At 39.3% G+C, this 15,619-nt stretch overlaps 1 protein-coding gene across 1 annotated transcript in view, besides 1 other annotated feature; it reads right to left on the bottom strand.

Annotated features, from left to right (window-relative positions):
• Window positions 1–15,619, bottom strand: part of MUC19 (mucin 19, oligomeric (gene/pseudogene)) — a gene marked incomplete in the record, with an annotated part of 177,364 nt that overhangs the window by 62,520 nt on the left and 99,225 nt on the right. The window contains 19 exon segments of the mRNA NM_173600.2: window positions 170–223; window positions 344–397; window positions 972–1,025; window positions 1,182–1,235; window positions 1,921–1,974; window positions 2,106–2,163; window positions 3,794–3,846; window positions 4,519–4,572; window positions 4,707–4,760; window positions 6,142–6,195; window positions 6,827–6,880; window positions 7,032–7,085; window positions 8,010–8,063; window positions 8,488–8,541; window positions 8,790–8,834; window positions 9,232–9,285; window positions 9,941–9,994; window positions 14,066–14,119; window positions 14,226–14,291. Of these exon segments, the coding sequence (NP_775871.2) occupies window positions 170–223; window positions 344–397; window positions 972–1,025; window positions 1,182–1,235; window positions 1,921–1,974; window positions 2,106–2,163; window positions 3,794–3,846; window positions 4,519–4,572; window positions 4,707–4,760; window positions 6,142–6,195; window positions 6,827–6,880; window positions 7,032–7,085; window positions 8,010–8,063; window positions 8,488–8,541; window positions 8,790–8,834; window positions 9,232–9,285; window positions 9,941–9,994; window positions 14,066–14,119; window positions 14,226–14,291 (1,032 nt within the window).
• Window positions 5,624–5,824: a silencer, noted in NCBI's record as "peak1679 fragment used in MPRA reporter construct". NCBI's record gives its function as "represses an SCP1 promoter by STARR-seq MPRAs in K562 erythroleukemia cells {active_cell/tissue: K562}" and the evidence as "EXISTENCE:reporter gene assay evidence [ECO:0000049][PMID:32103011]".

Here is a 15,619-nt window from a genome sequence, read left to right as displayed (position 1 = left end):
CCAGTTTCTGAAATTCCTTAGCAGAACTACTCAGGATGGCCACAGTACATGTTGTCCTTCCAGACAAGAAGTAACCCCCTTTCCTTGGCCCCGTTTCTCATTTATGTGTTACCCTGAGCACAAAATGACAATGATGAGAACTCTGAAGCCTTGGATTGACGAAGCTTACCTCCTGGTGCTTCTGACCTGGTGGTCCTGACCCCTCTGGTGGAACTTGTGGCCTCTGAGAGAAAAGAAAACAAGGATGACATCTACAGTATGGAGAGTGCAGGGTTATGTAACCCTAGGAGCCTGTCACCCGAGCAGTCATGGCATAGCATTCCCTGTGTGGCTGTGGACTTGCCTGTGTTGTCATTCTCAGATTCGAGAGTCTTTCCAGAGAAAGCCCCAGTGGTAGCTATTAAGAAAGAGATGGGTAGTCATGGGTCAGTACCTCATCATCATCAAGTAGGCAGAGAATAACAACCTCATAAATGGATAAATCTGTATACTTTTTCAATATTTCAGGAAACTGGGCTTTAAATCCCAAAAGGTCATCCATATACTCCTCATATAATACCCTTCTCATGGTATAGTACCAAAGGAATTTTTACTTATTGGGTCTCCATTTCTCTAGGGTTCAGGAATAGGGTCCTAGCAGCTATCACTCTAGATTCTCTATTTAACTGTCCAATGGCTACATGATTACCTGAAGACTAAAGGAAGTGTTTGCTTAAAGTATAGAAAGAAATTAATTTTCAGTTTCTGATTTGCTATCACTGATTTGCTATTTCTGAGTTGCCAATTTGTTATGATCTGCAATAGCAAAACCGCAATTACTTTTGCAGCTACCTGATATAATTAATGAATGAAGGTAAGATTTTACCTAACAATGCTCAGTGGTGAAGAAATGTGTGACATGAATACATTTAAAGCAATAAGGTTTATTGGATATTATTAAAAAGTGAGTCCAATGACCCAGCAATGCTCACCGGTGGTTATTCTACCTCTTGTCATTGCACTTCCACCTGGGGAAGCTGTGGCCCCTGAGAGACAGAAAAACAAGGAAGGTATATTAGGAAATACTCAAGGACCATGAAAAGAACATGATACAACCTCTGGAAAGAACAGCAGCAGAGGAGACATCGCACATTGAAATATGGGAGGAGCTCTGAAGGTTCCCTGGCAACCTGCAGACTCACCTGTATTGGAACTGCCAGGGACAAGAGTTGTGCCAGGAGTTGCCCTAGTGGTGGCTGAAACACAAAGAAGAGTGGGATCACCATGGTGATCAACTTTTCCCTTTCCTCTAGGCCTGCCTCTAAAAACTATCTAGGCCTATCTGAATTATTTATAAATGGTGCTTTCCATGATCCTTCCTGATGTCATGCCCTGTATATTTTCTGCATATCCATTTTACTAGCAAAACAATCAGGAGGTCCAATTCCTTAAGTTGAGGCAATATTTCTGGTCTTCCATCAGGAAACAGGTGGTGGTCCCCATGTTCACCATTTTACTCCCTGGAATATGGGAGACAAACAATTTTCCTGAGACTCTTACAAATCAAGAATATACCAAACATTTCTCTTGCTTCTAAGGCATGAAAACCACTCTTTAGGAATGTTTCTAAGGTTCATTTAAGTTATCTCTTCTTCCCTACAACAAAACTGTTCATAGTTCCCAGTAACACCCTGGCAACGTTTCTATGTACCCTCACAGGAGAAACTTCTCAAAACAAATGCAATAGATATCCCACTTTGAAAGAGGCTATTGGTAAAGTTTTAGAAAATATAAAATCTAAAGGAAGTTCTCCTGGGCCCAAGATTCATTATCCCTAAATAAATGCATAATATTCTGCAGAAAAGTCCACTCCCAAAAAAGTCATCCTAATGAGAGTCAAGATTCATGGTAACATGTGAATTACGGGCTGCTCATCCTCACCTGCTCTGGATTCAGTTCCAGTACTGCCCTTGTCTCCTGTGAAAGTTGTGGCCTCTGAGAAAAGAAAGAATAGGATCAAGAGGTCTGGGAGACACTGGCAAAAAACACTGAGTCACTATTTCTTGACTGCAGCGCTACAAAGTCATCATGCATTCAAGATGAGGATTTCCTTCCCATTCAACTACCTGTGTGGGAACCTCCAGATGTAAATGTTGTCCCTGGGAATTCACCAGAGGTACCTACAATGAGAAAGTAAAGCAGCTAATAGGACAAACAACACTGGAAACAGCAATGCTGTCTTGATCCACTGGAATATCTTTCCTCATAATCTGTTTTGGAGGGAAATGAACCATAATGGTTCCCTGCAATGTATCCACTATTGTTTTGCTACTAACTACTTCTTCCATCACAGCCTATTTAGAAAGAAGGATGTTTAATCTGACTTTACAGATTTCATGTCCAGTGACTTGGGTCTCTAGTGATCCAGGAGCAAGAAAAAGTCTTGAACATTCTAAGTGTTTTCCTTTGTGGAACAGGTAATACTGTGATTATCATGTTTTTAAGAATAAATACATGGATGTTTATAGCTTCCTTTAGTGTCTTTATGTAGCCTATGCCAACTGGCATGGGATTCTGTGAGCTGTTGCTGACACCAAGGGCAACTTCTACATAAGAATATGCCTGTCACTCATCTCATATTCTAGAAGAATTTTCACTGTATCTGACAGTGAGAAGAAGAGAGAAAGGTCTCTGCCTCATGTGATTTACATTTGTGGGAGAGGAAACACAGGAAGTAAACAGGAAGTGTAATAAATACGTTTGAGAGATGGCAGCAGGTGATAGTACTTTGCAGAATCATCATGAGCAAGTGGGGACAATCAGGGTTCCAAGAAGACTGCTGCAGGTCAGTGGGCCTCAACCAGGTGTCCAGACAACTAACACTGTCACACAGGCCATGGAGCAATGCCTGACATACATAACCCAGTGTCTCAAATTCTTTAGCAGGAATACTCAGGATGGTCAGAATACATGTTGTGCTTCCAGGCAAGAAGTAACCCCCTTTCCTTTGCCCCCATTCTCACTTATGTGTTCACCTCAGCATAACAGGGAAATGAGGAGAACCCTGAGGTCTGGGACTGGTGAACCTTACCTCCTGGAGCTTCTGATCCGGTCGCCCTGATCCTTCCTGTGGAACTTGTGGCCTCTGAGAGAAAAGAAAGCAAGCATGAAGTCTGCAGTATGGGGAGTACAGGGTTACGTTGCCCTAGGAGACTGCCATCTGAGCAGCCATGGTGTAGCATTCTCTGTGTGCTTTTTGACTTGCCTGTGTTGTCAATCCCAGGTTCCAGAGTCTTCCCAGAGAATGCCCCACTGGTAGCTATTAAGAAAGGGATGGGGCAGTGGTGGGTCATTACCTCATTACCATGAAGTGGGAAATGAGTATTAAGCAAATAAATAGACACAGGCTGTATACTTATTTATTATTTCAATAAATTGGCCTTTAAATGTCAAAAGCTAATCTCTACACTTCTCAAATAATATTCTTCCCATGGTATATTTGCCCAATTTTTTTTAACTTATTAGGCTTCCTTTTCTCAATATTTCATGAATAGGAAAATAGAAGCTAACTCTAGATTTTCTATGTAACTGTCAGTCAAATGGCTGCATGTTTTCCTTGGGGGGCAATAGAAGAGTCTGTTCAACCACAAAAAATAAGAATGAAATTTGAGATTCTATATTTAGTCAGTGAAAAATGGTAGGAACTTTCCTAACAATGTTAATATGGGAGAAATGAGAGTATGGATACTTTTCAAACCACAGGCTTTATTGAATATTATTACCAGGTGAGTGCAATGACCCAGCAATGCTCACCTGTCAGTATTCCACCTCTTGTTTTTGCACTTTGTGGTAGGGAAGTTGTGGACTCTGAGAGACAGAAAAACAGAAAAAACATATTTGGAAAATATTCAAAGGCCATGAAACAGATATGACATTACTCTCATAAACAATAACACCAAAAGAAATATCTAATTATGAGAGGAGCTCTGAAGAGTTCCCTGTCAACCTGTAAAACCATTTAATTCTCAATGCAATCAGAGGGGCCACTTCCTCAGCTTGAAGCAATATACATTCCATGAGAGGGAGACACACAATTTTCCATACTCACCAATTTACTGCCAGGGATGAAACATAAAAAATTAAGTTTGCTGGCAATTTGAGACATCAAGAAAGCACTAATAATTGTATTGGTTTTAGGGCATGGAAACCTCTATACACGTATTTCTAGGATTCATTTACATTATCTCTCCTTCCCTGGATCACAAATGTTTTTTGCTCCTACTAATATCCTAGCCATACTTATATATAACATTACAGGAGAAATTTCTCAGAACAATTACAAGAGCCATCTCACTTCTAAGATGATATTGGTAAATTTTGGGGAAAATATTTAATTTAAAGGCAGAACTATTTGTTCTAAGATGCATTGTCCAGAAATAAATGCAAAATATTCTGTAGGAAAGCCCGCTTCCAAACAAGTCATGCTAATGAGAGTCATGATTCACGGTAAATCCCAAATCATGAGCTGCTCCACCTCACCTGCTCTGGATTCAGTTCCAATACTGCCCCTACCTCCTGTGAGAGTTGTGGCTTCTGAGAAAAGAGGAGAATAAAGAGGTCTGGGGAATCTGAGATACTGGGGAAAAGTATCACAGTGCTAGTTTATTATTGCAGCTCTGCAAAGTTATCATGCATTCCAGATGAGGAACTCGTTCTCATTCAACTACCTGTGTGGAAGCCTCCAGATGAAATGGTTGTCCCAGAGAATTCTCCAGAAGTACCTAAAATGAGAAAAATAAAGGAGCTAATAGGACAAATAATACTGGAATCATCAATGTGTTCCTGAACCACTAGAAGACCTTTCCTAAGAACTCTGGTTTCCAAAGGAAATTAACAATGAATAACTTTCCCCCAACTATTGACAGATGATTTGCTATGGATTATCCTTTCCCCTGCAGCCTATTCAAAGACAGTAATAGCTTAAATTCAGTTAAAAAAGGAAAGATGCTTAAATTCACTTTACTAACTTCACTTTCAGTGATGTAGTTTCCTGGTGTTCCTGGAGGAGGAAAAATGTCTTGAACATTCTAAATGTTCTCGTTTGTGTAACTGATAATATTGTGATAATCAGATGTATAATAATATACTTCTATGAGATATTTATACCTCCCACTGGTGATTTTAAGTAGTTCATCCTACCTGGCTTGGGACCCTGTGAACCGCTGCTGGCACCAGGTGAAACCGTGGTGGTAGTTGTCGAAGTAAACAGAGTGACACTCAAAATAAGTACATACTTGTTACTCATCTTATATTCCGTAAGCAATCCTTTGTACCTGACATTCTCTTCTCAGTGAAAAGAACAGACAACGGTCTCTGCTTTGTGAGGTTTCCATTTGTGGGAGAGGGATCACAGAAAATAAACAAGTATAATAAATATGTTCAATAGATGTCAGCAGGTTATAGTACTTTGTGGAATCATGAGGAGCAGAATGGAAGAATTGGGGGTTCTGCAGAGGCTGCTGCAAGTCAGTGGGCCTCAGCCAGGTGTCCAGAGTACTAAAATTGTCACACAGGAAATGGAGCAATGCCTGACTTAGATAACCGAGTGATAAGGTTTGACTCTCAGTCCCCACTCATATCTCATGTTGAATTATAATCCCCAGTGTTGGGGGAGGAACCTGTTTGGAGCTGATTGGATCATAGAGGCTGGATTTCCCCTTTGCTGTTCTTGTGATAGTGAGTTCTCACGAGAACTGCTTCTTTAAAAGTGTGTAGCACTTCCTCTTTCACTCTGTCTTTCTCTACTGTCACCAAGTAAAGATGTACTTGCTTCCCCTTCACCTTCCACCATGATTGTAAGTTTCCTGAGGCCTTCCCAGCCATGCCTCCATACAGCCTGCAGAACTGTCCATCATTAAACTCGTTTGCTTTATAAACTACCTAGTCTCAGGTAGTTCCTTAAAGCAACGTGAGAACAAACTAATACACCCAGTTTCTGAAATTCTTTAGCAGAATAACTCAGAAGATCAGAATACATGTTGTGCTTCCAGATAAAAAGTAACTGTCTTTCCTTGGCCCTCATTCTCATTTATGTGTTTACCTCAGTATCCCACAACAGGGCAAAGATGAGAACTCTGAAGCCTGGGGACTGATGAAGCTTACCTTCTGGAGCTTCTGATCCAGTGGTCCTGACCCCTCTTGTGGAACCTGTGGCTTCTGAGAGAAAAGAAAACAAGAATAAAGACTGCAGTATGAATACATACAGGGTTACGTAGCCCTAGGAGCCTGTCACCTGAGCAGCCAAGGTGTAGTATTCCCTGTGTGCTTTTGGAATAGCCTGTCTTGTCATTCCCAAGTTCCAGAGTCTTTCTAGAGAATGCCCCAGTGGTCTTAAGAAAGTGGGTAATGGGCAACAAGCAAATAAATTGATAAAATCTATATACTTATTCAATATGTCAGTAAACTGGGTTTTAAATGCTAAAATGACATCTGTATATTTCTCATATAATATCCTTCCCACAGTATATCTACCAAAGACATTTTCACTTATCGATACTTTTTTTTTTTTCTAGTGTTCTGGAACAGGGAAATGGGGGCTATCTCTAGATCATTTATATAACTGTCAATCAAATGACTGTACGACTGCCTTGGGTGTGGAAGGAGAATCTGCTTACAGCACAGGAAATAAGAATGAAATTTGAGTTTCCGATCTTTCATCAATGAACAACGGTAATATGTTCTCGATCAGTACTCAATATGGGAGAATCCAGTCACATGGATTCATTTCGCACCACAGTCTTTATTGGATATTATTGGCAAATGAGTGCAATGACCCAGCAATGCTCACCTGTGGCTATTCCTCCTCTTGTTGATGCACTTCCTCCTATGGAAGTTGTGGCCTCTGAGAGACAGAAAAACAGAAAAGACATATTTGAAAAATATTCAATCACTATGAAATGAATAAGATATTACTCTTAAAAAGACAAGCACCAGAGAAGATATCAAATTATGGGAGGAGCTCTGAAGACTTCCCTGCCAACCTGCAGACTCACCTGTACTGGAACTGCCAGGGGCAAGGGTTGTGCCAGGAGCCACCCCAGTCGTAGCTGAAACACCAAGAGGACTGGGATCACCATGGTGATTAATCTTTCTTTCCTATGGACCTGCCTCTAGAAAGAATCTAAATCTAACTTATATCTAACTAGCATTTTCCCTAGCTCTTCCCTGATGATGAGCCCTATGTATTTTCTCATTAACCGTTTGATTACCAAAGCAACCAAAGTGACAATGTTCTCAACCTGTGATAATCTTCCTGTCAGGAGGACAATGTGGGTTTCTCCCATGCTCACCTGTTCTCCTCCCTGTGTCTTGGCTGTCAGATGCAAGAGTGGTGCCTGCTGTGGGGTGGTTGCTGAGAATGCCATGAGTGTGCTGAGAACTCCAGACATTGTGAAAATATTTAGCTCTTCATTTGTGAAAAGGAAGCATTGACACAGGGCAGGTGTGTTTCCTGGGTTCTTGTAGCTCCTCTGTGTTTCTCAGCAAGTTTTATCACCCCCTCCTGTTTTAAAAGCTTCTAATGTTTGTAATTTCACAGCAGAAGTTACTTAGAACAATCAGTATAATCATCCTGTCTTCCAGGATTAGAAGTATGATTCTGCAATCTGTAATTAGTAGCTTTTCTGGAAAAATGTCTAAACTGATAAAGAATTTGTTGGCCAAAAATGTAGTATTAGTAAAGTAAATACAAACTGCTCTCCAGAATCCTCCTCTCTCTAGTCTCGCTATGAGTGTCAAAATCTGAAAACAACAAAGACATGAGTTGCTCCTTCTCCCCTATTGTGAATGAAGCTTCAGTGGTGCCAACGTGTTCTGCAGAAATTGTAGCCTTTGAGACAGGATATGGAATTGTAAATTCTGGGGAGTTGCACTAGTGAGAAGACAGATTTTGTGTTATTCATCAGAACAACTCTACAAAAAAACATCATTTCATCTGTGTGTCCATAGAGACGGTTTTCTTTCAACTTTACCTGTGTTGGAAATTCCTGTTTCAATAGATGTCTCAGAGCCTACTCCAGTGATACCTAAAACAAGAAAAAGCAAATTTAGCAAATTCATCATGGAAGCAACTAAAAGGGCCTTTCTCAGGACTTAATGTTATAAATGGTGCAAATGCTAAATTAGGAGTGTCCTTCTCTCATTTCATTTCCTTGGCTCATTTATTCGCAGGCGACTTGCCAGTGAACACCCCTACATTCTAGCCTGCTGACAGAGGGATGGAGGCTCATTTCATGCCTGCCTGTTTCAATTCCTGTTATGTCTCCCTGGTGTACCAGGGATGACTACAGAGGGAGAAAAATGAAATATAAAGTTCTTTAGAAATGTCTCTGTGATACTTTTGTGGTTGATTTCATGTCATCCTTAAACCATTCCCATGCACACACATACACATGCACAAAACTCACATAGGAGTAAGAGCCAGCTTACATTTTCTTTATGGAATTTTACCTGTGTTGGAAACTTCTGAAATGGTACTGACTTCAGGAGAACTGATAGTGGTGCCTGTGAAAAAAAATTCTGTGAACTTTAAAGCAATGACGGTCTCATTCCTGACTTCAGAGAACTAGTTCTGAAAGCCAGGACTCAGGCACACTTGTTGGAGGGTCATGAAAATGGCAGTTCCAGAGGGATTCACAATTTGACTTGGCCTTGTGTAAAATGTGTCCTCAACCTTCGTATTCTTCTGTTTTAAGCTGCAATCCCAAACAATGAATCAACAGAACCCAAAGTCTTGGAATGAGAACACTCACCTCCTGACGGTCCTGCTCCAGGAGTCCCTGTAGCAGTTGTAGCCTCTGAGAAAGAAAAGAAAGGGAAAAAGTAAGAACATGCTGACGGTTGGGTGTGGTGACTCACACCTATAATTCCAGCACTTTGGGAAGCCAAGGCTGGCAGATCACTTGAGTCCAGGAGTTTGAGACCAGACTGGACAACGTAATGAAACCCCATCTCTACAAAAAATAGCCTGTAGTCCCAGCTACCTGGGAGGCTGAGGTGGCAGGATCACCTGAGCCTAGGAGGTCAAGGCTGCAGTGAGCCAAGATCATGCCCCTGTACTCCAGCCTGGGCAACAGAGTGAGACCCTATCTCAAAAGAAAAAAAAAAGAAAAGAAAAGAAAAAGAAAAGCATGCTGGGTCAACTGTATTACCTAAGTGGCTCCCTCCAGGATGTCCTGGTATGTGGTGACTTACCTGAGACATAACTTCCAGGTTTGAGGGTTTTCCCAGAAATTCCACCAGAAGTTCCTGAAATAAAGAAATGGTGGTCAACATGCCATGACTAGGGAATTGCTTTTTCAAAAATTTGTATTTCTTACAATATATTAGGATGCTCTTTCTTTGAGCTTTCGAATGGCAAGAATTAATCTGTGTTTCCAATGTAGCATCTCTTTCTTATAGCAAATTTCCTAACAACATTCTAGGCGCTTTAGTGTCTTTGAGATTCGGTGCTTGGAAATGAAAGTTTTCTCAGTACACATATATCCAGTGGCCAGTGACTTGACTTCTTAGTGCACTGAATGAGCTCCTTAAGGTAGAAGGAAGTCTTAGGCTCCTCAAGCTTGTCATTTGTTATCTAGTAACTGCTTTGCATTTTTTTAAAGGTTTAGTTTATGGAATAAAGCAGTGTGGCTGCATTTCAGGCAACACTGCTTAATGAAAGATGATCAAAAAGCGCAATAATGGCTTAGCAGGCTGAGCTGGAGCTATTCCACCTACAGAGATTCTGCTTCCTCCTAGGAACTTCTGGCCTCTGAGAATGAGGAAAAGAAGAAAGACACAATTGGGAAGACATTAAGGATTTTGGATTATTATCATGATAATTTTGCCTAGAAATAAAACCTGAGGAGATAGCTCCTTGAAAGAAGTTCCAATGGGAAAATTCTACTCAGCTTGTTCTCACCTATGTTGAAACTTCTAGGGGCAAGAGTTGTGCCAGTGGTTACCCCAGTGGTACCTGAAACACAGAAAGTCCAGAGATCACCATACTGACTCATTCTGCCATGAAAAGATCTGAATCTAGACACTATCTGTGTGTTCTTTGCTATAACAAGTAGCCTTTTCTGGGTACTTAACAAATCTATAATTCTACGAGTTTCTCTGCTTGAACTATTCCATTTGTAAATCATAGGGAGTGACAATGTTCTCTACTTGAGATGTCCTTTCCTGGCCTTCCCTGACAAAGATGAAAAATGATCTTCTCTTGTGTTCACCTAGTTTGATCTCAGTATGCCTTAGCTCTCTGCTACAAAAGACAGTTTATATATACTGAGTACCTGAGACAATGAGAAACTGCTGAGCATTACTCCTTCTTAGTGGGGTCAAGGAAGGCTTTCTGGAAAAGACAGCATCTAGATCTTTACCATTGCCTAGGATTTGTCTATGTGAAGTCCAGGAAGGGAACATCAGGCAGAAGACATAGTAAGAGCCAAGGTTTAGGGAAACATAGCAATATGTGTTATATGAACATAGAATGAGTAAAAAATAACTGGAAACTTAGCTCAAATTCAGTGAGAAAACAACTTTCTAGTGATCAGTTTATAAAATTTTATAAAGGAACTTCTAACAGTGCCAACAACTAATTCAAGTGAGGCTAAAAGTTGTTATGTGAAGGGGGCTGATGAGAAGTTTGGAAAGTAGATGGGGTCTCCAAGGACTCAAATACTACACTAAAGCATTTAGAATTTACTTGAAGGGCAATGGGTAGCTGCTAACATAGACTGATGACAGAAATGACATGAATAGAGATAACAGTCAATAGAGGACCACTGACCACTGCTTCGGATAGAACACATCTGAGAATAGAGAAAACTGGAAGAGAGGAAACTTGCCTACAATAGTCTAGACTAAAGGAAATGCAGAGGAGTAGAAAGAGCTCAGGCGTTGGAATCAAAAGAGTTGTGTGGTTTTAAACAGGTTAAAAATCTCTGAATCTCAGTTTCCTTACCAGCAAATTAGGGAAAATAATGCCTACATTATTCAAATAGATAGTGAATGAAAGCTAAACATATTTCAGCTGTATTGAGTGTTTGTTATACACAAAGCTCCCCATGTAAGACATTAATGATGCATAAGGCTTGGTCCCCTTTCAACAAAGGCAGAATCTAATGGATCAGGGGGACAAGTATGGAAATAATCACCTCATCAGATAAGGGCCATGAAGAGGTTTTAAATCAGTGAAAAATAAGACAAAAATGCCTGTTTTCAGGGAGCTTATATTCCAATGTTAAGTGCTAAAAGGATCAGAAGGAGAAATCATTTTTTTTTTAAAGTGAGATGTTCTAAAGAATCAGCTTCTTGGCCAGGCATGGTGGCTTGTGCCTGTAATCCCAGCACTTTGGGAGGCTGAGGTGGGCAGATCACCTGAGGTCAGGAGTTTGAGACCAGCCTGGCCAACATAATGAAACCCCATCTCTACTAAAAAATGCAAAAAATTAGCCAGGTGTGGTGGCACACACCGTAATCCCAGCTACTCAGGAGGCTGAGGCAAGAGAATCACTTGAACCCAGGAGGTGGAGGTTGCAGTCAGCCAAGATTGTGCCACTGCACTCCAGCCTGGGTGACAGAGCAAGACCCTGTCTTGAAAAAACAAAAACAAAAACAAACAAAAAAAAAGAATCAGCTACTTTTGCTTATTTTTTAAAACTGTTTTTAAGTTTAAAAAAGAGATATCAGGATACATTAAAAGCTAAATAATTTTCTTGTAAATAGTAGGTGACAAATAACTCTTAATATGCTGAGAAATACTGTGCTACCTCTTTTTAATAAGGGGGATGTTTTGGTAGTGATTTTGGTCTGTCTGAGTTTGTATACTTGTATACAATCACTGTAGAATTTAAGTATTATATAAAGGATTCAATACAACTTTATTATGATTTAAGAAGGCATGAGAATAGAAATATCAAAAGCCCTATTCTACAAAAATCAAATTTGAAGTTCATGTTTTACTAATCAGATAAAGTAAGACTTCTGGTACCATGTGTTCTATTCCATTAATGTAACATTATATTTTCAAATGCACATTCATAATCTCATATTTTTTCACCTGCTACTTCAGGCTTTTTTGATGTCACCGAAATTTAAAAACAAATATATTTATAAATGTAAATATTTGATTTATTTCCATTTACAAAGGTTAATTTGTATATTAGGTTATAATTTGAGACGCATGTCACACACAGTCCTTTAAATGTTTTTCAGTGCTCAAATGGAAAAGATAGAAATTCTATTTCAAGCACATTGTGCAGAAATAAATTTTCATGTCATTGAATTTCAGCTTACCTACAATTAGTTGTGGTGGAATTCTAACAGAGCTTACTAAAGGATAAACTAAATCCACACTTAAATTAAAGAATTTATTTGAATTTCCTTTAAAAATTTTGCTTCAGTGTGGCAAATGCCATGATAATTAAATTTTGTTTAAGAAACAGATGTTATTCCTATAGAGGCTTATCTTAGAAATTTAAGTCAGAGTAAATGTTCTCTTGTGAGACATATTGTAAAGTGCTCTTTTAAATAATCGTGTATGATTTCTATGATCACAGATTATCAAACTGAAAACAAAACACTGCCTTTTTTCTAAGAAAAATATTTATACACAGGTAATTATTATTTGGTTACATTTAATTAAAGCTGTTTTGAGATTATAAAGTGCCAAAAATGATAAAAGACATACTATGCCCCAATAGTCACACACTGTGTCCCAATAGCTACCTGTTCATGGCCATGTTGTTAACTTATAATTATGTTGTTCAATATATAATATGAATCATGCCAATTTGTTTACATTTGCATAACCACAGATTGAATAAAGAGCCAATACAAATTTAGTTTGAATTAAATTACTGAATTAATTATTTTCTAGCAAACAGTTGGTAAAATTAATTTACACAGGAGACTTTATAACAGTAGTTAGAATAATGCGGCATAAATCTTCACAAGAAAAAAAAAAGGTAAGCATTCTATTCCTTAAACTATTAATGAGCAATGTAGTCATTAGATTCTGGGTTCTGTTAGACACCTGCACATTGAGAAATGATGTATTTTTCAAGTGCTATCATACTAATATATTACTAGTTGAGAACCTTAAGCAATAATATACTGTAGCCTTGAAATAATAATTTTGTTCATTTACTCAGTGTTAGGAAAAAGAAATTGCCCTATAAGTATTTGTGAATCATTGTAAAAAGAAGGAAAGTTATAAAATTTGGACTTATAAAACAATAATATTATAGTTTTGTCAAATAAAATTCTCCAAATCTTATTTCAGAATAGGAAGTGCCACAGTTTATTACAATAAAAATCTTATTTTTCTTAACCTGCTGCTCCAATTCTTTTAGTTAGAAATGGGAAACATTTAAGCTTTGTGATTTTAAAAGCGAGCTTTATTGGTGTTTTTTGTTTGTTTGTTTTGAGACGGAGTCTCGCTCCGTCGCCCAGGCTGGAGTGCAGTGACCTGATCTCGGCTCACTGCAATCTCCGCCTCCCAGGTTCAAGCGATTCTCCTGCCTCAGCCTCCTGAGTAGCTGGGACTACAGGTGCACGCCACCACGCCCTGCTGATTTTTATATTTTTAGTAGAGACGGGGTTTCACCATGTTGGCCAGGATGGTCTTAATCTGTTGACCACGGGATCCACCTGTCTCGGCCTCCCAAAGTGCTGGGATTACAGGCATAAGCCACCGCGCCTGGCCTATTGATGGGTTACTAAAGACATCGTATATTTTGCTTTAGCAAAGGAAGGCGTCACACTGAAGAGCACAGTTTTGGAATCAATAAACAATCGAGAAAAATATTGATTTCACCATTTGGCTTGCTGCAGGAACATATCAACTTAGATAATATCTTCGTCTAAGTTCCTAATGAGCAAAAAGAGATAATAATGTTCATTCAAGTAATTTATGAGATAATATATTTAAAGACATTGTAATTAACTGGCATTATTATTATTAATGACTTCACTGTTTTAAATTAAGCAATGAGCATGAAAACAAATCAAAAATACATCTGACATCCCCCTGCTTACTTACCAGTAGTGGTACTTCCTGGTGCAATTGTTGACCGAGGGATGGCTCCCGTGGCAACTGAGATTAAAAAGTGTAAAGTCAGGAGCAGTGTTCTTATTTTATTGGAGCACTATCCAGATATTTATCAACATAACTACTTTGAACCCAGTTGTGGTTCCAGTACCTGACGTGGAAGCTATGCTTTCACCTTCAGCTCCTGGGGAAGTTGCAGCAGGCACTCCAGTTGTAGCTGAATTTAAAACAAATGAAAAAGAATCTTAATAGCATAATTCGAAATTTTCATTTGTACTTCTCCCTGACATCTCAAATTCAACTTTCAAACATGAAGCTGTGATCTTCCCACCGCAAACTGCTGCTCCTTCACATTCCCTATTTTAATAACTGATAGAACCATCATCCTAGTAACTAAATATTAACTTGAAAAGTACCCTTAACGAAATCCCCATCAAACCACCGCCAAATTCCCTTGATGGTTCTCCAAAAATAGGTTTTGAATTTTTCCCTTTTTTCCATCCACCACCATAATTTATCCTAAACCATTGCCTCTTACCTTGATTGAGCAATAGCTTCCTAGCAAATCTCTCTGCTTCCATTTTCACTTTATACAATTCTTCACATTTGCAGTCTTACTGATCTTTTAAAAATGGGAAGCTGATCATGTCACTCTTCTGTCTCTCACCTTCTGGTAACTTCCCGTAGCTCTTAGCAACAAGTCTAAAATCCTTAACTTGTGCGGCAAGGCTCTGTTGTGTGTGAACAGGGTCCTTCTGACTTCTCTGGGCTTATTTTGTACACCCTCTGGCTTCCTAACAGAGCACTGGGAACCCTGGCCTCTTTCTACCTTAAACTTTCTAAGATCCTTTGACTTCCTTCCCCATGGAGCTCTCTTAGCATTTCCCTCCCTGTCTTATCCTCTTTATCTGACAACTGCCTCTTCATTCTTTGGGACACCAGGTGGAAGGTCACTGTCCTGGCACCCTCACCTTATTCTTAGCACTTAACATTAATTGTAATACTATTGAGGTACTTCTCTCTTACTGGCTAAATCCCCCACTAGACAGGATGCCCTGAGAGTAGTGGCCCTGTCAGACTCATTCACTTCTGTGCCCACACACTTATCACAGTGTCTGACACACAGATGGCAATAAAAATAATTAAAATTTAATTAAATAGTAAAACATGAGACACTGCTGTTATAATAGAAAATGTCCAAATACTTCGGGTATAGTAGACTTTTCATCAATCTGATTTTCTTTGAGAGGTTGCATTTGGCATATCTGAGACTCCATTGAGATATTCCCTCCAGGGAATATATTTCCTTTCTGCTCTAGTTTATACCCACTGCCATAGGAGGGAGGATGGTGTAGAAGGTAAGAAATAGGCTCTGAGGACAGACCTCTCTGGTGTACACTATCACTTGCAGCAGCTAACTAAACTTCTCCTTGACTTTCTCATTTGAAAATGTGAATAAAAATAGCATTTATCTCAGCAGTTGCTGTGAAAATTAGTGACATGTTTACATAACTTATAACAGTTCCTGGCTGACCAAAAAGTGCT

The sequence above is a fragment of the Homo sapiens genome, chromosome 12 (assembly GCF_000001405.40).
Source record: "Homo sapiens chromosome 12, GRCh38.p14 Primary Assembly".
In the NCBI taxonomy this organism is placed as follows: Eukaryota; Metazoa; Chordata; class Mammalia; order Primates; family Hominidae; genus Homo; species Homo sapiens.
This window is presented reverse-complemented; position numbering and strand designations above follow the sequence as displayed.